General features: G+C 40.8%; 1 protein-coding gene across 3 annotated transcripts in view, besides 1 other annotated feature; it reads right to left on the reverse strand.

Annotated features, from left to right (window-relative positions):
• The window catches only part of RASGEF1B (RasGEF domain family member 1B), a 45,515-nt gene extending 24,803 nt beyond the window's left edge, over positions 1 to 20,712 (reverse strand). For 2 of the 3 annotated variants that reach the window (NM_001300735.2, NM_152545.3), the window contains exons 1-4: positions 20,575 to 20,712; positions 8,137 to 8,319; positions 6,304 to 6,426; positions 5,456 to 5,593 (exon numbers count right to left, since the gene is read on the reverse strand). In NM_001300735.2, coding sequence (NP_001287664.1) covers positions 5,456 to 5,593; positions 6,304 to 6,426; positions 8,137 to 8,313 — 438 coding nt within the window. In that variant the 5' untranslated portion in view covers positions 8,314 to 8,319; positions 20,575 to 20,712. The remainder of the gene's footprint in view (positions 1 to 5,455; positions 5,594 to 6,303; positions 6,427 to 8,136; positions 8,320 to 20,574) is intronic. The other variant, NM_001300736.2, reaches the window with a different exon arrangement.
• Positions 20,644 to 21,053: a silencer, noted in NCBI's record as "silent region_15524". NCBI's record gives its function as "represses an Ori minimal core promoter by ATAC-STARR-seq in GM12878 lymphoblastoid cells {active_cell/tissue: GM12878}" and the evidence as "EXISTENCE:reporter gene assay evidence [ECO:0000049][PMID:35858748]".

Below are 22,262 nucleotides of genomic sequence, written 5' to 3' on the forward strand. Positions count from 1 at the left end.
AACAGAGTTTGATATGAAGAAGGGACTTAATCTTCTTTGCTAAGTCTTTCTCAGAAAACGCCTGAGTTTTCAGTATAAACAAATTTAACTTGTTTGTGTCCAATAGAATAGTTTTTAAAAAGAAAAAGAAACATGGCCCAATCACATACTGGACTACTGTATAGCAGCTGAAAGAAGATACAGCTACCTACATTGACATGGAAGGGTTTCCAAGACATAACACAGAGAAAACAAGCAGGGTGATGAATACTAGGTAAACATACATGGAAACAAAAGCCATACACACTACTTTCTGTGAACACCTGTATACATAGGAGCAGCGCCGGAAGGATACACACAAAATTGACAACACTTGTTACCTTTAAGAGAGAAGCTGGATTGAATGGAGTTTTTTGGCCTCTTTTGCTTTGTATGAATTCTTTTTAAACAAAATCTAAGTGAATATATTCCTATATTACTTGATATATTAAAAATAAAATGTTTTAAAATTTTCCCACAGAATGGGATTTTTTGGATAACACAGGCATGAGACATGCACAAGAAAGTTCTTTTCACTTAAAAAAGCCAACAACTCATTTAAAAATATTTATTATTCTATGCCTCAGCTGCTATTCCATGCATGTTATCATTCCTACATCATGCACCTTCTCCTCACCCCTTCCCGGGATCCCTGCAGAAAATACTTTAGTAAGAAATTACCACTTCTATTCAGGGTACCACACAAGGGTACCTGCTGGGAAGCAATGAGCAGAACCGCTGAATGGGGGCAGCCTGGGTTCCACCCCAGAGATTCTGATCGACTTGGTCTGCAGTGCACTTGTGTCACATGCTCTGGATGCTCCTCAGCTGATCCTTGTATAAGCCAAGTGTGAGAAGCAATGCTTTACCAGCATATCTGCTGAAAGATTTTTATTTTGCAATTCTTTTTTCTTGAGGCGGAGTTTCACTCTTGTTGCCCAGGCTGGAGTGCAATGGCACGATCTTGGCTCACCACAATTTCTGCCTCCCGGGTTCAAGCAATTCTCCTGCCTCAGCCTCCCAAGTAGCTGGGATTATAGGCATGCACCACCACACCTGGCTAATTGTGTATCTTTGGTAGAAATGGGGTTTCTCCATGGTGGTCAGGCTGGTCTTGAACTCCCGACTTCAGGTGATCTGCCTGCTTCAGCCTCCCAAAGTGCTGGGATTACAGGCATGAGCCACCGCACCCAGCCTATTCCGCAATTTTAGAAAAATTTACTGGGGGAAGAGGCAGAGGAATGTATAATCAGGTTGTTAGCAAAAAACTGCATCAAAATATAAGGGAAAAATGTATGCAATAGAGTATGGGGGAAAGCTATTCAACAACAACTAGTGTGTGAGCATGTGAGAGAGTGTATGTATATGACCTCTTTTAAAAGTTTCCTGCTGCCAGTTGATTCCATTTGAGAAATCAAGCTTTGTGTTGTTAAGCATGGTTCCTCACTGAGTCATGAATTACTAAATATGTACTTATTCTTTTTTATAACTTCAAATGCCAGTGACAGTAATTACCTGGCAAATAAAGATAGAAGCTCTTATTATAAAGACCAGCCCCTTAAGGAAGAGAAAATTGCATTCTACTCACTACAGTCATTTGTCATGTAATTCAATCATTAGTTTCATTTCATGTTTCTTGCAGGCAAGTCCTAATAAACCACTTCATTTTGGGCAAATCCCCAGGGGAGAAACATATTATGCCAAATTATGTAGAACTGTCCTGGTAGATTCAGAAGAACCTGACTAAATTATATATACGGCACACCTGGATTCACTGACTGCCAAAAGGAGAAAAAAAAAAAAAAAAGTCCCAGGCAAGAAGCAACAAATCCCAACCCAGACCCATATTCCTTCCAATAGAGGGAAATAATTTTTCCCTATTCCAGTAATTCATTTGTTCATTCATTCATTGATTGACTCATTCATTCAAACACTACTGAGAGAATACTAGGTGCCAGGTACTGAGCTAGGAGTTAAGGATGCCGTGGTGAACAAAGAGGGCACAGCATGGGGTCTAGAGGGGAAAACAAGCAATAAAAATGCAAGTACAGTCATCCCTCAGTATCCTCGGGAGATTGGTTCCAGGACTTCCCTGGGATTCTAAAATCTGCAGATGGTCAAGTCTCCGCTCTAAGATGGTACAGTATTTTCATACAACATCCGCACATCCTCCTGTATACTTTAAATCATCTCTACATTACTTATAATAGCTAACGCAACGTAAATGCTATGTAAATCACTGTGATACTGTATTGTTTAGGGAATAATGACAAGGAAAAAAAGTCTATATGTGTTCAGTACAGACTTAATATTTTTTGAATATTTTCAATCTGAGGTTGGTTGAACCCATGGATGCAGATCCCACAAATACAGAGAGAGGGCCAGCTATCATTACTCATCACAGAGTGCTAAGAATGACTATGAAGGGAAGAGCAGTGAAAGCCCATAATGGGAGGGGGTATGATCATAGTTGGGTGCCAAGGGAAGGTCTCTCTGAGGAGAGCCACCTAAGCACGTGACTGATAAGGAGCCTGAAGCCAAAGAACTGGAGGAAGGACATCGATCACACAGTTTCAGAGCTGAAAGGGCATTAACACAAGGCAGTTACTTCTGTGATTTATAGAGATGAGAAAGGAGCAAGGATTTAGAGGACTAGCCAAAACACACTCAGATAAACCAGCTGGCAAGTGTGGATTTGAATTCTGAATACTGAATAGAAGCAGCTAAAGAAACAACATCTCCCTGTGAAACCCAACCCGATCAAGGCAGGTGACATCTCTCCACTCAACCCTTAGTTTAATCAATTCCTCAGTTAGAACTGGCTTGTCTTCTTATCTCCTCTTTTCATGCTCAAAACCATCTGAACTTCGCAAGGTTTCTATCAAGAATATGTTATTAACCCAGGAGTGTTGAAAAGAAGCCAGGGTCACAAGGCTGTTTGGCCCTTCTCTCTGTTCTACCCAGCTCTCGAATGGCTTGATTCTGTTAAACAAAAAGACCAATTCTCATCAGGTAAACACAAATAAAAATGATCTCCCCTTTGACTGCCGCAACAACAAGGACCATCCATTTGGTATTTTCAAAATGCCAACATTTTATCTTAAAAGAAAAAGATTTTTAAGGTGTTTCTTTTGGAAAGAACTAAGTTATAAAGGCAATAGAGGGAAGATAAGATGACTGACATATAATGTTAAGTAGCTAAAGACAACCAAACTGAAATGAAAACTGTTTGACTTAGGTCTCAGCCTTCATACAAGAAAAAGCCCTTATGATGTCACTGATCTTTTGAGCAGCTTCAGATACATAAACCAAGGTCACTGAGCCAGCACTGACCCTGCCAAGGAACTCCACGGCTAACCCCTCTAACATAAGATTTACTACAAAACTGCACCATGATGCTTAACTTTTGCCTTTGTAAGCAAGGGACCTATCAATTCATACCTGGCTAGAACCTGTAAGAGGCAAACTGGCAAAATGATTATAACCGTCATAACTTGCACAGTGACTCAGGAAATGACTCATTCGGCCCGGCAGAAATAATGGCTGTCTCGAGCACTTGGGTTCATCATAATATAATGTCAAAAAGTAACAGTAAAATGGTTAATCCCATTTTCATGAGAACATAATACAGGAAAGCCCATACAAATTTTTCAAAAGCTAGCCTTACATAATTTTAGTCTGATTTTGTAAAATTGGGATAAATGGCATTAAAATGTTTATATCTATTAAGATGCCACTTATTATCATCTAACTAGCTGTGTCAAACCTTTTTGGAAGTAAAAAGGTATAAGTAAAGTAAAATTAAAACACACTTGCAACATAAATCCTGTGCATGAGCTGACATGAACATAGCCCCAAAGTTCTTCAGATGAAGGTTTTTAAATTTTTCACTTAATTCCCTCAACAATTAATATACTTCCCCTTTTCTCACAAAAAATTGCGGCTGGGTGCAGTGACTCACACCTGTAATTCCAGCACTTTGGGAGGCCAAGGCCAGTGGATTGCTTGAGCCCAAAAGTTGGAGACCAGCCTGGGCAACATAGTGAGGCTTTGTCTCTACAAAAAATAGAAAAAACGAGCCAGGCACAGTTGCATGCACCTGTAGTCCCAGCTACTAGGGAAGCTGAGGTGGGAGGATTGATTAAGCCAGAGAAGTCAAGGATGCAGTGAGCCATGATCGCAACTCTACACTCTAGCCTGAGGAACAGAGCAAGGCTCTGTCTCAGAAAAAAAGGATAGGGTATCAAGTTATACGTTGCAGCACACCACTGAAAGAGTTCTCAAGGAAGGTTATTCATAATGGAAAATGCATTTTAAGACGAATAAAATGCAACATCATTGCCAAATGCTTCATCTACTTTTTCCAGGTGAAAGTGTATCTGTGCCTGAATGACTTGTTCCCAGAAGTTGACCTGCAACATGGAAACTACAAGGGCATCCTTGCCCAGCAAGTCTCAACACAGAATACCAGCCCTCTGGTCCTGCTTCAAAAAGGATAACCTTGAATTTGTCACAGCTAGTAGTTAGTGCTTATCAAAGGCTCAACTGAGGGAAGTGATATTTATGAAAGCCTATCTAAGAGACTTACTTTTAATCTCTACCTATACTAGAGTCTATCCTTAAATCAACTTCTGAGCACTGGAAGACTTGCCTCATTTTCTCAGTCTTCTCCTCCCCCAAGAATTATCTTTGCTAATTTACACATGAATCTATGAACTCAGCTTCTATCCAGGAAGGTATGTTGTAAACACCATAAAGAGCAGTTTGTAGGATCTCATTCTATGACCCTATACAAAGTTCTTCAGAAGAAAGTTTCTAAATTTTTCATTTAAGTCCCTCAATAATTACTATACTTCCCCTTTTCTGACAGTGAATATTACATGACCAGCTGTATTTCCCTTTTACCTGGAACTTAAACTCATACCACAGCAGTCCTGTCCTCCTCTACTCATTCTCAACAGGAGCGTATTTATTTTCTTTCTGCCATGGCCCAGAATGTCTATTTCTATTTATGATTTATTAATCTACTATTTATCCTCGGTTAATAGAATAATGTTATTTACTTTGTATCCACTAGTGTTTATGTCTACTAACATGCCATTTATCATCTAACTAGCTGTGTCAAACCTTTTTGGGAGGAAAAAAGGTAAAAGTAAAGTAAAATTAAAACATACTTGCAACATAAATCCTGTGCATGAGTTGACATGAACATAGCCCCAAATTAATCACATAAAACTCTAGATCATATCCCTTTGAAGTGGGATGGTATAATCATTCTCACTTGACATACTAAATAGACCAATATGTGATGTGGAGGGCTTGCCCAAAGGCAAAACAGAGAGGAAGCAGTGGAGATTAGGATGCATAATTCGGCACCATTTCCCACCCAGGCTCTGCCTGGGAATTCCAGCAGCCGCGCTAAATTCAGGTTACCAACCTCTTCGCCACTGGCTATTCGGTGAGCCAGATCTTTTAAGTTTCTCATCATTCTTTCATCCCGAAAATCATAGGGAAATGTTTCCGTCCATTCCGTGAGGAGTTGAAGGATTTTGGGTGCAATTTTTCTCATCTGGTTCTAGGGAGAAATAGCAAATCTAATTCAGTGATATTTATCACTATGGACTACATCAAATCAATAGTTACAAAGAGCGTCACTGAGAAACTTCTAGTGCAAAGTCTTTAGGGATGAAGAAGAAGCTCCAGCCCCCCTCCCTCCATGTCAATGCCAAGTGCCACCAACTTAAGGCAGGACCTAGGGATTCTCCATTGCATTTAATTAATTTATTTTTTAAAATTTTTAAATTTTTAATGTCTTTTATTTTTGAGACAGAGTCTCACTCTGTCTCCCAGGCTGGAGTGCAGTGGTGCAATCTCAGCTCACTGCAACCTGCCTCCCAGGTTCAAGCGATTCTCCTGCCTCAGCCTCCTGGGTAGCTGGGATTACAGGCATGCGCCACCAGGGCCAGCTAATTTTTGTATTTTCAGTAGAGGTGGGGTTTCACACGTTGGCCAGGCTGGTCTCAAAACTCCTGACCTCAGGTGATCCACCCACCCTGGCCTCCCAAAGTGCTGGGATTACAGGCGTGAGCCAGTGCACCCGAACTGCATTTGATTTATCCTGTGTTCTTTATTCTTTATACCATTCACAATTCCCCTTGTATAGCCATGATGCCATTTATGCACTTCAGCCTGGGGATAAGCCAGGGTTACTTAAGGAACCAACTTCACAAAATCTAAGCCATAAAGTAAGCATTCCTAATAAAACAAATTGTAATGTACCATTACCTTATCACTATCAGGATCACTTAGTCTCTGGTGCTCAACACATAAGTGGCAAACTTTGGCCATTAGCTCATACGGATGCATAAATAACCGAGAACTGAGTAGGAAGGTAAATATGTATGTTCTCTGCAGCAACAGAAAAAAGTCATCATCGTTACATTCTCTCTGAAATTAATATCTTGCCTTTATACTATGTCTTATTTCATTAAGTTCTCCTGATCAAGTTCATATGCTGCAGTTTCAAAAGTAATGCCTACTAGTAGTAAAACAGTGTAAGGTTAATTTCTCCTTTACCTTCTGATGTATGTTTTCCCTGAAACCATACTAAAAATAACAGAAGTACAGGATAAGTTTGGCTCCTGGAATTATTCAGAGCACATTTTCACATCCTTCCTCAGGGAGCCAGGATACCAAGACACATAACTCACTTTAGTAAAGAAGAATGAAATTCAGCCCAGAGAGATAAATCTTACTTGAATATACTACCCATACAAAACATGGTTGTGTGTCCAAATATTTTGTAACTCAGTGGAAACCAAATAAAAAATAACAACAAAAAAACCTACCTACCCAATGCACATAACACTCAACAATTCTCCACTGTGTCTAGCACATCACAGTAAAGTGTTTGTGTCAGAACATTCAAAGGCAGGCTTTCAAGTAACCTATTTATTTGTTTAAAGGCAAAGCAATTTAATAAAGCACAATATAACACTATATACTTTTCTTTAACCACATTGTCTCCTAAGAAGCCAATAATGAAGTAGTGCTTATTTGTTATAATAATTTCAGACTCCCAATGAAAAGAGAAATTCCATGGGATTTTTCTTTTTTCCTTAGGCGCCTTTACTAGCTCATAAACACAGGGCTGAACAAGGGATTCCTTTTACTTTTGACTACAAGTTTTCCCTGTGTGGCAACATATCTGAAAATGCCATGTAACAATACACAGAGAGATAACTCAGTAAGAAACACTATGGTGAATTACTGCGGCAAGCACCAACTATCCTTTGCACACCAAGGTTATCATTAAATTTATAAAGACAAATGAATGTAGTCTCTAGATATTTTCATGAGATCTTTATCAATAACCAGCTGCTCGGCAAATCTCCTACTACTAAGCTCAATTCCATAGAGGTAGCTGCAGCACAGGGAAGGGGGAAAAAGTCACTTGTCCCAGAAAGAAAACCTGTGTTTGACTGCTGATGCTGGGAGTGGGACCATCAGCAAATACTCAACACTCTGAATCGTTTTCTCCTCTCTTCCCTCTTGGAATTACTGTAAAGACTGAGAAAATATACAACAAATTCCCTAGATTAGAAAGTGCTAGCTATATAAATGTAGGTTACCAAGGTAAAACAAAGCAACCATGTCATCTGATGTCAAATCTATAAAGAATTACATCTTGAGCATAAATCTTGTTTTCTCTTCCATATACTTTCCTTGGTTACATTCACTTTTCTTAGCATAGTGATGGTCTTGGAAACAAAAAAGGCATTACATATTCTGGGAGCATCCAATGTTCTCTGACATTTCTATTTAAGGACTAAGCTATATGCATGAATCAACTCTACAGATACTTCATTTAGATGGTATCAGACCATCTACAATGTTGTAACTAACCTGAAAAGAAATTGATACACATAGTATACCAAAATCTGATCCTTATCCAGGCTCGATTTGATTTCAATGCACTTGATAATCAATATGCAATTTCTTGTTAGAAAAATTCTTAGCAACCTAGATATAATTCTGTATTATCTATGGTCCCTGCCTACTGTACTGCAATTTCTACTCATTGCCAAGGATGTGTTTCAGAGAAACATGAATACCTACATCTGGATAGTAATCCACATTAGGTACTAAGTGCTGGATGAGTGCTTCCAGGGATCCAGAGAGGAGGTTGTTGTCATGGTAATACAACCCTCCACAGCTGTCCTCTGCAGACTGATAGAGGTTTCGATTGTAACCACTGCTGTCAAACATTGCTGAAAAGGGAGGAGTCTGAGGCATACTTTCCTAAAAGGAATAAAAAAGAAGAAAAAATAATGTCAGCAATATGCAGTATGAAAATAAAGGTAAGCTTTAATAGGCACTAAGATTTAATAGTAACGAGAGAATAGGCAATTAAAATAGTAGTTCAGGTTCTGACACAGAATCAGAGCCCATCAGGAACCAAATTGCTCTCTGAGTACGACACGTATGCATGCTTTTGAGTACCACTCTCATTCAATCAAATATCATACAATGCTTAGACTGAGGGGCCCAACCTGGACTTAAACTCAAGTCTCTGGCTGTCATATTTAGATGTCACTCCTTCACATCAGATTGTGAAAGGGGCAAGGGAACTGAACTTCTATTGCTTTATCGCATGGAGTCAACAATTTTCCTAAGGTGGAAATGTGTACACCTTAAAATTTGGTTGGGAAAAGTTACCTAACACTGAAGAGCTATCTGAAGTACTGGAAGACAACCAAAATTGAAGCTGAAAACACTAAATTGCAAAGTAGGCCTAGAGTTGAAGTATACTCTGTGCATGTTTATATATGTATATGTGTACACACAAGATTTCATGTAGACTCTTCAGTTTTCACTGAAAGATCAGATGCTGTTGATTTTCTCCCCTTTGTGTTAAATTCTCCTGGGGCTGTGGGGTGGTATCTGTAAAGCCTCAGTTCTCAATAAACATGCAGGCTGAGAAGACACCTGATTTGGGAGCAAGGAGCACTGTGACAGTCCTGAGATAAGTTGCTCCTCTCCATCTGTGTACTTTGCAGTTCACAAAGGCCTTGTCAGAGGGTGCTCTGCAGAGGCCAGAGGCTATTAAGTTATTACTTGAATTCCTAGGGACGGCACCCGGCCCTGAGAACAGACTCCCAGTCTCTGGCACCACGTCTGCACAATGGAGGCATTGAAGAGCTGCAGAGACTGGGGGCTTCAGAAGGCAAACAATGAAGGGGAGCCATACTCCAAGCTACGGACTGACAGGGACAGGGTGTGTGGAGGCAGCAGAAGGACATAACCTGGACTAATCTTTCTTTTTAAGATGCCAAAAGATATTTGCATCTCAATGTGGGAGGGGTGTGGAGCCCTGTCTAAGTCACATCCATCACTCCTTGAGCATCTGTTCCAGCTACAGCTGATGGGTACACAGAGCATCACATCCTGTGCATGTGCCTCAGCAGGGGGCGGCCAGGGGTGGGGCATTAAGAGAAAACATCCATCATAAAAGCCAACCTGGCAGGTGAAAACAGAATTAGATAAAAGAAGCATCAAGAAAAATAAATGGGAGATAAAAACCAACTTCATTTCTGAGTACTTTGTCCCCTCCACAAACCAGTGTTGAGGGACAATTTAACGGGATCCATGAAAAAGCCACAAATGGGAAGAAGGTGATGACTGAGAACCACTCTATTCACAGAGATTTGTCACTACTAGGGTCACTGGCCCCATGTCTCTCCTTTAGGTAGCACATAGTCATAGCAGCCAAAGGGTCAGGCACTATGGGATATAACATTAACACAGATGGTCTGCACACACCCTTAGTTGGCAAGACCTCACATGTAGGAACTGCAGTTAAATAAATAAATTATTCAATGTTAACATTTTATAAGGCAATAGACAAGGTATGTTTCTTTCCTCCTCAAATTGCCAGGTTTCTATGAGTACTACTCCTGTGCAATATAATCGTTGCAAACTGGCCATCCTTGGCGGCAAGAATAAGAGCCAGTCTGTCCTTGCCCTGAGAAACTCATAGTGCCCTCAAACGAGGAGGCAGGGACGTGAGATGAGAGGCACCTAAAAGTTCCTTCAGATAACTGAGAGAGAACCCTTTGTCTGGATTTGGTTGCCTCTGGCTTTAAAAAGTTTTAGATGTTTATAACCACAGTGTCCTTCACATGCAGCATGAGGAGTGTCATGCCCTTGGAATTGGGATTTTTTTCTTTCAGGAACCACACATTTTCCTTCATTGGAGCACTTACTCATTGCTAGCGCAACCATTCTAACAAAGTGCTTTTGGGAGATGGTTGGCCAGGATTTGGGAATTCCAAAAAATCAGAAAATGATAAATATTCAAAGGAACCACAGAAATCACCTGGCCCAGTATCTGGAAAACATTTCATTTCACTTTCCTTTCACTTTCCAACTGCAATCAATTAAAGTGGTGGTCTAAAGGCCTGAGGATGAGCAAGGAAAATATGGAAGCTGTAGCTCAGTGGGAGAATGTAGGTTGTAAGTGATTAGCAATGACTGTCAGACAGTCATGGAAGGAGCCACAGCCCATGTGCCATCACAATCTAGTCCAATCTCCTCTTCTGAGACCCAAGGGGGTAAGGTGACCAGGCTAAGATGACCCAGCAATGAGGCACATCGCTGCACTCTTGCTGGATGGAACTCCCCTGCACCAAGTACTCTCCGGCCAGAGGCTAATTAGCAGTAAGCACCAACCCACAAAACGGTCATGGGTCACTCAGATTTTGTTTTCAAGGAATCAGCACCAAAAGCTACCAAGTATTTGCACTTCTTAATTATTTATTCCTGCAGAGTAGACAAGAGCTCAGATCTGGACAAAGATTCAGATTTAATGAAGTCCTAATTCTGGCACTTAATGGCTGTGAAATCTTCAAACCCTCAGCACCACCAGATATGTTTTCCATCTGTTATTTCCAATTTTGCTTATCCCTTCCAAAATAGTAACAAAACTACTTATCTTCTTTAGTGCAAGGTTCTTCTTAGAGCATTATGATTAGAGCAATGGCAAAAGGCTTGTGTATTGTTTTTTGGAACTATACCACTTGCAGTATTTCTCTGAAGAGGTGCAAAATATCAATACTTAGAAAACTCCCTCCAACAAGGCACTAAAAGAATATAATGCAAATAGTGACAGAAACCAAATTGAGGTAAATGAATAAGGTTTATGGCTTATTGTACTTAAAAATCAACTGTAAGAACAGAGTTATGTCACAGGCTATTTTCTGCCTTCTAACAAGCCCAAAGTTATGCTGCTAATTAGCTGATTTCATTTTCCCATGAAACCACCTTGATTGTTGAACTTGCACATAGCAATAACCAACTACTGAGATTCAAGTCACTTCAGCCCATTATTTATTATGCACAATAGTCTTATTTTTCTACCTCCCCATATACTCCAGACAGAATCTTTTCAATTCCTTAATCCCTTCTCCCTTCATTAGTCATAATTCTTCTCACTATGGGATATTGTGTGCTGGAAAATGTCTTCACATTTCACAGACCTTTACCTCTCTGAATCCCCATTCCAGGTCTCTCTTATGACATCCGTGATGCAGAGGGCTCTGAGAATTTCATTGGCTCCATTTGTGTAATTGTTTACTGACTACAAATGCCTTCCTGGATTCTACAACCACCTCATCTGGCAGGCATCCCCATCTTTTTTTTGACTATATAAGAAGCTGAGGTTCAGAAAAACTGTAATAACTCGCTTGGGGTTAGACATGGAGTAAGGGACAGGTGGGGTAGGGTTTCAGAGTTAGGTCTTCAGACTCCAGGTTCAAAATTTATTACACTACATTATGATATGCTGCAAATGGTCTTCTTTGAACTTCTAAAGTTTAAGCATTAAACAAAAATCCTGTCAGTCTGTCTCAAATTGTAGGCTATTAGAATAATTCATACATTTTACATGTTCTACATAAATCCTTGCTCCAAAGAAGTATTAGTACCATTAATTACTCTTATTAAAAAGTTCAACTGTCAACAGCAGTATTTAAGCTACTGACCTTTGCCATCAAAGCATGGTCTCATCAAGACATAGAGATTCCAGAGATTCCAATATGGACTTTAAAAAAAATTATAATATCCTCAAAACTGGGATGCATGTAAACAGTTGAATGGTAAGAAAACATGTTTACTTAACAGTCTTTTAAAGTGATATATGCAATGACAGAGCATCTAACGAGGGATAGCCTCTTAGACTCAATGAAATATAGTAATATTTGCTTGTGTGTACTTTATAGATTTCCGGCAAAAAAAATTTAATGAAAGAAATGACCAAGAGAAAAATCATGGCTCACAGTATTCATCACTCATTGCTGGACAATGTCTAACCAGTGGCCAGTCTAGCTGTTTTCGGAAGGATCAACTGCCTGTGTAATAGAAGCGTTTTATAATCACAAGGAAAAATCAGCAGAATGGTACAGAAAGTACAGTTTATGGAACAGAATTGTAATACCTAAGAAGACAAACATAGTAGTCTGTTTTCTCTAAAGTATCTTCCCTCTTGTTAACCACACCAAGAGCTACTGTTTGTTCGGTATTACTCAGACTTGATGTCTGGGTCTTTTATTCTAACTGCTTCAGTTCTGGAATTGAAAAGTGAGGCCCAAAAGATTAAATATTGGTTTAGTTCTTGTTAAGAAAATAAATCCAATATTCAAAGTGCTGGGCATGAGAATCCAGGCAAGTATTTATCCCTGGGCACTATTAACTCCAGGAATCACTTCCTAACAATTTCTCCAGGGGAAGAAAGGCTCAGGGTAAGGTTGCTCGTAACCCATAACTTCCATTTATTTCATTCAGTCAGGCAGTTCTCATGCCTTCCTTATTGGCAGCAAATCTTCTCCTTTCATCTTCCACAACTAATATTTTCTGTCTCTGAGATCCTATAAACTCTCAACTTACTCCTCTTTACACTTTGCAACACAGCCTCAGAACCAGCCTCTCCACTGCCTGCCATCTGTCGTTAGTAAAAATTTTGCCTAACTCAATATACCTATCAATGGGGACCAGCTAACAAAAAATTTTGTTTAGGAAAAACTGACTCTTCTCCAAAATTAGAATATATGGATGGAACAGCAAGTTAAATACTGGCATTAATTTACCATAAAGTCCAACTTCAAAGTAGCTAATTCCTTCAGAAAAAAAGAGATTTGTATGAGACACAAGAAAAAGCTGCTGACTTTATTCAAATCCTACCAATAATACATAAAGCAGAGAGCAGGTTAATCTCAAAAGCTATTCTCACCTTACGAAGTTGCATTTGTAAGCCAGTTCTTTACAACTCAGAGTATATTCAATTCAGTCAGTGGCTCTTAACTCTTTAGGGAGATCACAAACCTCTCCCCATCACCACCCCCAGAGAAATTTACACACCAGTTTTCATATACTTTCAGGGAGTTTACAGACCCCAGATTAAGAAGTCCATGTGCTGACCTGCACAGAACCTAGATATTATTTCTCTACGCCAAGGAAGAAGAACATGGTGGCTCTGACAGTAACCTTGGTCTAACACTTTCAAGACTGGCTCCTTAGACATCAAGAAACTCTTAGGCCAGGAGCGGTGGCTCACACCTGTAATCCCAGCACTTCGGGAGGCTGAGGCGGGCGGATTACTTGAGGTCAGGAGTTTGAGACCAGCCTGACCAACATGAAGAAACCCTGTCTCTACTAAAAATACAAAATTAGCCGGGCATGGTGGCACATGGCTGTAATCCCAGCTACTTGGGAGGCTGAGGCGGGAGAATCGCTTGACCCTGGGAAGCGGAGGTTGTTGTGAGCTAAGATCGTGCCATTGCATTCCAGCCTGGGCAAAAAAGGCAAAACTCCATCTCAAAAAAAAAAAAAAAGAAAGAAAGAAATCAAGGAATTCTTGTATTTTCAGGTAGTACCTATCAAACTGAGTTAAGAGAATAAAATAATCATAATTATTTTGGTTTGGGTACAGCTATTGAAATGGGCTTTCTCTTTTCTTTTCTGCAAAAATTGAGGCAGCACTTTAGGATATTAGAAGATGCAGGGAGATAATGGAAAACAGACTCTGGTTTTAAAACAATGAAACAGGCGAAAAGAAAGTGTAGAGCCACCATAATTAGCATATAGATTACAGGTTATGCTGGAAAATCTTCCAACAGGAAGTTAAGATATACCCAACCCAGGTACACAAGATGAATGTTCTTTCTTAAAATTAATTTGGGAAGTTGAAAAGTTAGTTGACAGACAAGACATCTTACAGAGGCAGCTAATTTGGTCACAAAGATAGATCACGTTCTTCCAAGGACCCTGAAAAAGTTCAGCCTGACATTGATCCAGCAGCAAGGAAGCAAGCTCTGGGTGATTTACGATATGAATGGATTTGAAAGGCATGCCTAATGGTTTCAAATCCACTAAAGTGCCAGATGAAAAGCTGCCTTTTTCTAAACAGCAGACTGTGTTTGAATTAGCGACTGCTTTTGCACAATGTTATTTATGATGAAGCAGGTGCACCAGGATAAGGTGGTTTCAGGTGACAATTCAAATTGGAAAAGAGGTTGAGGAAAAGATGGGTATGGGAACTGAATCAAAAGCTATCCCTCAATGTCTGCAATAGGTGCTTTGTAAATCTCTACTAGAATGTCAAGTCAGCATTTCCTCTACACTTGGAAAGAGACAGAAAATGTAAGAGTCAGAGAAAAAAAAGGTTTATTTTTTTCAATCCCTATTTCATCATACATACAGTGCTTTGGTGAAATATTTAATAAATCCAATGCCTTGATGTTGACCATAATATTTTAGCTTCTGTTCAAATGTTGGGCATGTGTCCCAATTAAAGAAAAGAAAAACACTTAAGTAGATGAAGGCCTCCGTATCACAGCTGAACTTTGAAAGCATATTTGTTTAGTGGGGAGAGGTTTAATTTAATATCCCGGAATTACTGGTTCCCGAATTCCCATCTAGATGCCAGAGAAACTTTGCCCTTTGGTGAGATTCATCTTCAACAACTTGTTTCTTCCTTTTCTCCCTTGAAGCTGCATAGATCTGAATTAAGAGTTCACGTATTTCAGCTTTACTCCAGCTGTTATCTCAAGTACTTGCAGCCTGTCTCCTTTCGCCCTGCTAGAATACAAAGATTGACTGCACCTTCATAGGGTGTATCTAACTATGGATTTGAGCCAGGGTGAAAGGCAAAAGTCAAGTTTCTGACACTATTTAAAACATGACTTATTTTAAATTTGAAAACGTCAAGATTGCCAGGCGCGGTGGCTCACGCCTGTAATCCCAGCTCTTTGGGAGGCTGAGGTGGGCAGATCACAAAGTCAGCAGATCGAGACCATCCTGGCTAACACGGTAAAACCCTGTCTCTACTAAAAACACAAAAAATTAGCTGGGCGTGGTGGCGGGTGCCTGTAGTCCCAGCTACTGGGGAGGCTGAGGCAGGAGAATTGTTTGAACCTGGAAGACAGAGGTTGCAGTGAGCTGAGAACGCGCCACTGCACTCCAGCCTGGGCGACAGAGCAAGCCTCCATGTCAAAAAAAAAAAAAAAGAAAGAAAGAAAGAAAGAAAGAAAGAAAGAAAGAAAGAAAGAAAGAAAGAAAATTTCCAGATTATCTTCCCATTTCTGTCCTCAGTCAGAAGACGTCCTAAATCAGAGATTTCTAACAGCATCTCTGGAAACTGCAGAAATGCTACACCTCTGCTTACCTCCTTAAAAAAAAAAAAAAAAAAGAAAAAAAAGGTATTGTATTGAGAGGGCAAACAACACAGAGAAGACAACTCAGAGTCAACTCACTTCTTTGGTATGTGAACAGACAGAAACTCCAAGACTCCAAGATAAGTACCTTCTTTGAAAGTGAGTCCCACATGCTTAGTAGATTTCACAGTTAAGGGAGGAAAAAAAAATCAGTATTTTTGAGGAAGGAAGATCCTATTTCTCTCGCAATGAAACAGTGATATTATTTCCTGATTTATCAGCATCCATACAAAAAGTTAATTTCCATTCTGCTTGATTTGTCTTAGATGCTGCTTAAATATTTCATACTAATTCCTAATTGTTGGAGGAAGGGGATTCTGACTCAAATAGTTTACTATCTTTGGTTTCCTTGGAAGAAAAACAAAGCTAAGATTTGTCATCTTTTGTCTTGGGGATGTGTTGTTAGCAGTTTATTAAACCACAAATGACATTTCGGCACATAACCTGGAGAGTCAATTAAAACTCTTCTATGAAATAAATCTTTACTGTGTGGGAACTGAACCCAGGACATATTGAATGTAAAGAATGTAATGCATACATTCTTTATGCATTAACTTTTTAGCTACATCTTCCATGCAGTTCCTAAACCGGACAGTAGATGGCTCCTCGTTCCTTGTCTTTCAAAGAGTTGGCACTTTGTAGCAGTAACAGTGCTGGTTTAGAAAAGCAAAAGGATAACTAGAGTTATGGGGAAAATATATTGAGAAACTGGTATTTGTGATCTTGGCATATTATTGAACTATACAGCTCATACTGTACAGGTGAAGACGTACTGGCTAATAATGCCATTTGGTCATAATGCCTTACATTGTAGGTGCTCATCTATAATGAGAATTAAATATTTCATTTTCCTGGAAGAATAAAAATGATCTTCTGGATAATCAAAATCATCATTACCTAATTGAGTGCTGTCAAAAAGAACTTTCTGGGATACTGAAAATGTTTTTCTTTTGCACAATCCAATACAGCAGCCACTAGCCACAAGTGACTTACTTAGCACTTAAAATGTGGCTTATTGCAACTGAAAAACTAAATTTTAAATTTTGTTTAATTTAAATAAACTTAAGTTTAAATATTCCCATATGACTAGTGGCTACCATACTGAACAGCACAGATATGAGTAGCTGAATCATCATTTATACAAGGTAGATCTCAACCCAAATTAGATAATAGCATGTGGAGAACATTCTTTAATGAAAGGTTTTATTTTTCTACACCTAATTCATCTCAGGAAAATGATCTGATACCTAATGAGGATGTTTATTAAAAAGTAGAGTTTTCTATTTATATTTTAGTATATAACATGGTTACTGGGATAATTTTCCAGCTGTGAGTTTTTGAAAAACTATATTCATCCCTTCCCATTTTTCTCTTTTAGATCAATAGAAAGATATTGGTAGTCCAGGCTAATTTGTACTTTCTCTGGGTTAAACTAATTTTCTAAGCAGGGTTTCCTAATAAAGTTTGAATCAACTGAATGATTTCCAGACATAGGCATATCCTGAAATGAAATAATAAATATAAACCTAAGAAAAAATGATTGTTGAAGACAAATTTAAAAATTTAGTGGATAGTAATATTGATTTAATAGGCCAAAAAATAATCTGACACCAATCTTTTTGATAATCATTTTTAATATTCATACCTAAAGAAAAACAAAGCAAAAAGCAGTTTAATATTAAATTTCTACATGAATTCATAAATAAAAAAGAAATTTCACTCTCCTCTCTTCATTTCCATGTACCCAGAAAGTAGGTGAACACCTAACTGCAAATCACTTGTCCCTTCATTAGTCCACCTCTAAGACAGGGTGTAAATGCATGAAGCGATAGTACAACAAAATAAAGCAGTTATGACAGACCTAAAGAAACTCATAAATCATTCTGTTCAACTCCCCACAGTCGTTTTATAGACACTGCAGGCATAGAGAAAAAATAAATCACTGATTAGGGCTCCAGATCAACCAGAACCCAAGTCTCCTTATTTCCAAGGCAGAAATATGCCACAGCACTAGGCTATAACATCTGTCACTTTAGGATAAGCAAAGGTTGCATGGATCTTTTTTGTAGTTTTAACTGGAGAATCAAAAAGGACAACTATAGGTCTGAAAAAGTGAGGGGGGTGGGCTGGCAATACCTGAATTCAACTACTACTAATAAAAATCCCATAAATCTTAAACAGCATTTTTAACAGTGCAATTGGCCTCTTTAAGAAGTCACAAAATGTTTTCACAGCTTTTTCATTTATTATGTGTGGCATCAGAATCAAGTTTCCCAATCCCTGCTTCAAGGATTCTAGATTCTTCTCCCAAGCAAAGAAAAAGACATTCCATTCACCCATCTCCTTTCCAAGGAGGTGCTCTCCTGGGGCTATCCCAATGTTCCTCCCAAGTCCAATTCTTCCAGGTACTCTGCGGATATTGACAAAGCTGATCCCAACACTCCTGAGTCATACTAGGGATCCCAGCTCCTCCCCTTCAATTTTCTTACCATGTCTTTTTCCTTAGAAAGGTGTATTGAATTGTTTTTATATAGTCTATTGTACTCTATTAACTAGTAGTTAATTTTAGGTTCTAAGAATAAAATGTTATATAAGAACTATGTGTTATTATAATACTTTGATTTAGTTATACATATAAATACATATGTATATATGTACATATATGTGTATATATACACACACACACACACACATATAAATAATCTATTAGATGCTAAGCTGTAGGGGGTTAGCGGGAGACAATACATGGGAATGCTTTCTGGTGATTCTCTTCTCCAAAAGACAGTATGATTCCCAGGTATTAGATGTGTTAGTATCAGATAAAATATCCAGTGGAGCACATAAAATGAAGCAAGACTGAAAATGCACCATAGGAGAAATAAATTCTAAGAATGTAACACTTCGTTAGACAACTGGAAAGTACAAGGCCAATATGCTTAGTAGTTAGAAATGTTGCCCACCTCCAAGAAAACAAAGGATTGACCCGACATGCAGTGGAAGAATGCCAACAAGAAACTTGTTAATCAGTGGCTGATCTCATCTTCACCAGAAAATCTGCTTGAGAGGCATAATATAACGCTGTTTGTAAACCCTGATATCTGTCAAAAGTGCCCTAAGGTCCTCCTCTCTAGCTCCACCACTGCCCCTCACTTAAAAAAATAAAATTACCTTTAATGATAGGGTTTAACAAGCTGCCTTCTTTTTTTCTGTTATGAAAACCTCAACAGCAAATAATTTTTATTTCTTTTTATTAAAGAAAGCAACTCTATATTTGTTCTAAATCTCATGGGACCAGTTATTTTCACCCAAACGGCCAACCAGGTATATACGCTGCTTAACTGTAAACCTCCTTGTTTCTTAGCAGAGGCTTATCGCCATGGTCCAACTATGTTTTAAATTAAGGCATAGCCATCACATGCCAAGCTCTAGCTACTGTTTTCACGAGGAAAGGGCAATTATTCACCCCATCTGAGTGTGACTGTGCCAGACATCATTCAAGAGTGCACCACCCTGATCCCTAGACTCTTCCCCTTTATGCACCCAGTTCAGAGACCCTCCCTTCGGCCATTAGACCATCTGAGCTAAATATAGATCTACACACACCAGCAGTTCCTGACCGTCGTCACATGGTGCTGACGAAGGACTCCTTGGAGACGCGTTCGGCCCAAACACATACACAAATTTGTGTGCATATTCATCTATATACACCATATCCACCGAATTCATCAGGGAGGATGGACACATCTACATTCCGAAGAGAAAATCGCCGTCTAGACAATCTCCTTGTGTTATCTGCCACACTTGTGCCACCCTCGGCAGTGTCAGAGGATTAAGCTACGTTGCTTTTGCCTGAACTGCGCCGATTTGGTTGGGGCAAGACAGCAAGCAGTATTGAAATGGTACGTCCATACACACACACAAAGGCGCGCGCACCCCAGCCCCCGTCTCGCCCTTTTCCCTGGTGCAGCACTTAAGTTGTTTTCACAGCTCCCTTAGAAAGAACCTCCCTTAAGCTGACTGCCCGCGAGGCTCCTAGATACCTCTAGCTCATCTGAGATTCCCCAGGCAGGTGACCCGAGGCGACTCAACTGAGCTCTGGCAAAAGCAAGGCGACTCAGTGTCTCCCAAGTTTGCCAGGTGAACACCGAAGGATGACAGCACATCACCTTGTCGGTGGCGAGTATGTGACTTCTGTTCCCTTGTCCCTTCCTACGAGTCAGACTTTAGATTACATGGCACTGACAACAAAAATAAACAGCTCCCCCTACACACACACGCACACAAAACTGGTCAAGAAGTGGAAGAATCAACCTAGGTATGCACACGAAGGAAAGAAGGGATGAAAAAAATGATGGACGCGATTACAACTCAAGACAAATCCTCAAAAACCACCTATCTCGAGACAGAAGGCCTGGCTGCAGGATCAGGGAGAAAGAGGGAAGGCACAACCCAACCCAACCCAAGCCTGGCCCTGCCCGGGTCCCAGCGGCTCGGCCTCGCACCTGTTGGGGCCGCGGCAGTCCCAGGTACCCGCAGCGGCCGGGCAGGGGCCCTCCCCCGGTCCCGGGCTGTAACTCGGCTCTTGGCGCCCGCGTTCGCGCTCACTCGCCTCGGGATCTCCCGCCGCCTCGGAGCGCACCCGGCAGCCGGTGAAGTCTCTGAGCCCCGCTCGCTCCCCGCGCGGCCCAGGGATCTCCAGGGAGAGCGCAGCGCGCAGTAGGGTCCGGAGTTCCCGCTCCGGGCTGTGGTCCCCCAGCCGGGAGAACAACCCAGCCAGGGAACAACCTACCTGCAGGTGAACTCCGAGTCCTCGGCCTCCCGGCTGCGTGCCGCGCGCCCACAAATGCGACCAAAGGACAGGGAGCTAAAGCGCGCGGGAAGAAGAAAAACAAAATCTGTCTAACCAGTCGGGTTCCTTGTTTATACTGAAACTACGGCAGCCGCCGCCGCGCACGCCCCCCTTGGCTCAGGCGCCTGCCTCCCGCTGCCAGCCCCGCCCCGCCCCGGCAGGCGCGGGCCAATCACCGCGCAGCTCACCGCCCACGCCGCCGCCACCCGGCCCGGCAGGCAAGTCCCAGTGGGCCCCAGACTCCCGCAGCGCGTCAGCCTGGGTGCCCTCCCACGCGGCAGAGGCCCGCGGAGCCCAGCGCAGCGGTGTTTAACAGCGTTGGTCAGGCTGGCTCCGACTGTGCGCGTTTCCTCTTGAGTGCACCTGCCCCGGGCTGTTGTGCAGTCGTGAGTGTGTGTGTGTTCATTCACGTGTATACTATCTGTAAATACCGGCCCGACTCGTTACACAGTATTTATTAACATAATTGTGAGCTAAAGGTTACTGTCCATGTAACTTTCAGAAGAGAGCGGAGAGGAACCACAGAACATTTGCTTAGCAAATAACACATAGATCCTGGTGCTAAGCACTGTGCAAAACGCTGGGGGCACACTTGGCAAAGTAGGCTGGTCTCTGCCATTGTGAAACTTACATAGTCTAGTGGAGGACAGACATTCAGCAAATAATCACCCAAACAAAATGTAGAATTACAGCTGCTAGAAGTTGCACGGAGAGGAACCTGTTCCGTGAAACATGATTCCGGAGGCAAAGCAGGGAGGCTAGTCCTCAGTGAGGGCTGTGTTGTCATGGTAACCACGTACTCACTCCATCATGGGATATTTGATAACTATTTCAGAAAAAAGGTAAAAACCTCCGTACTTCACTTTGTACACATAAAAGGAGGCCAGAGGGAAATAATGATGGAAACAAGGGAAGAAAGAGACCTATGAAAAGAAAAAATTTACAGAATTAGGAGACTCTTACCAACTGTATTTCCTTGAGTAAGTGATACAGCTTTTCTGAGCTTCAGTTTTCTCATATATAAAACAACACTATTCATACCTGTCCTATACTGTTATAATTAAGATTACTGAGGGGGAGGAATCCTTTTCCCTCCTGCTCCATGGGTCCCTCCCCCTCTCCTTCCTGGGGTGGAGTCATTTTGACGCTCACTTTGTCTATTCTTAGCGGATTCCTCTTTCATTTTCTTCATTTATGCCTCCTTTTACTTTTCTTCCTCTTTATGATACTCCTTCCCTCCTTTGTGTAAATAGGACTCCTCTGATTCAGTAATTCACTCTAACCTACTTGAGCCTTTGACTTAACCATAGCTTCTCTGCAGTTTAAATGAGAAGCCATAAGGCCAAGGGAACTTGGTGGGCCAGCCATGCAGAGTGAAACACAGAGGCTGGGTGGCCCTGCCCTGCTGTTGTGGTTGTACTGGTTGGTTGATTTTTCAAGCTCAGTTTTTGCATCCCGATTCTGTAACAAACGAGCCATATGACATTGGGCCAGTCACTTACACCCTTGACATTACTGATCCTGTAGCCAGAAATTAAGAGTTGCAGGGGATTGCTGGCAAGATGGCTGAATAGGAACAGCTCCAGTCTGCAGCTCGTAGCGAGATTCACACAGAAAGCATGTGACTT

Source organism: Homo sapiens, chromosome 4 (genome assembly GCF_000001405.40).
Source record: "Homo sapiens chromosome 4, GRCh38.p14 Primary Assembly".
In the NCBI taxonomy this organism is placed as follows: Eukaryota; Metazoa; Chordata; class Mammalia; order Primates; family Hominidae; genus Homo; species Homo sapiens.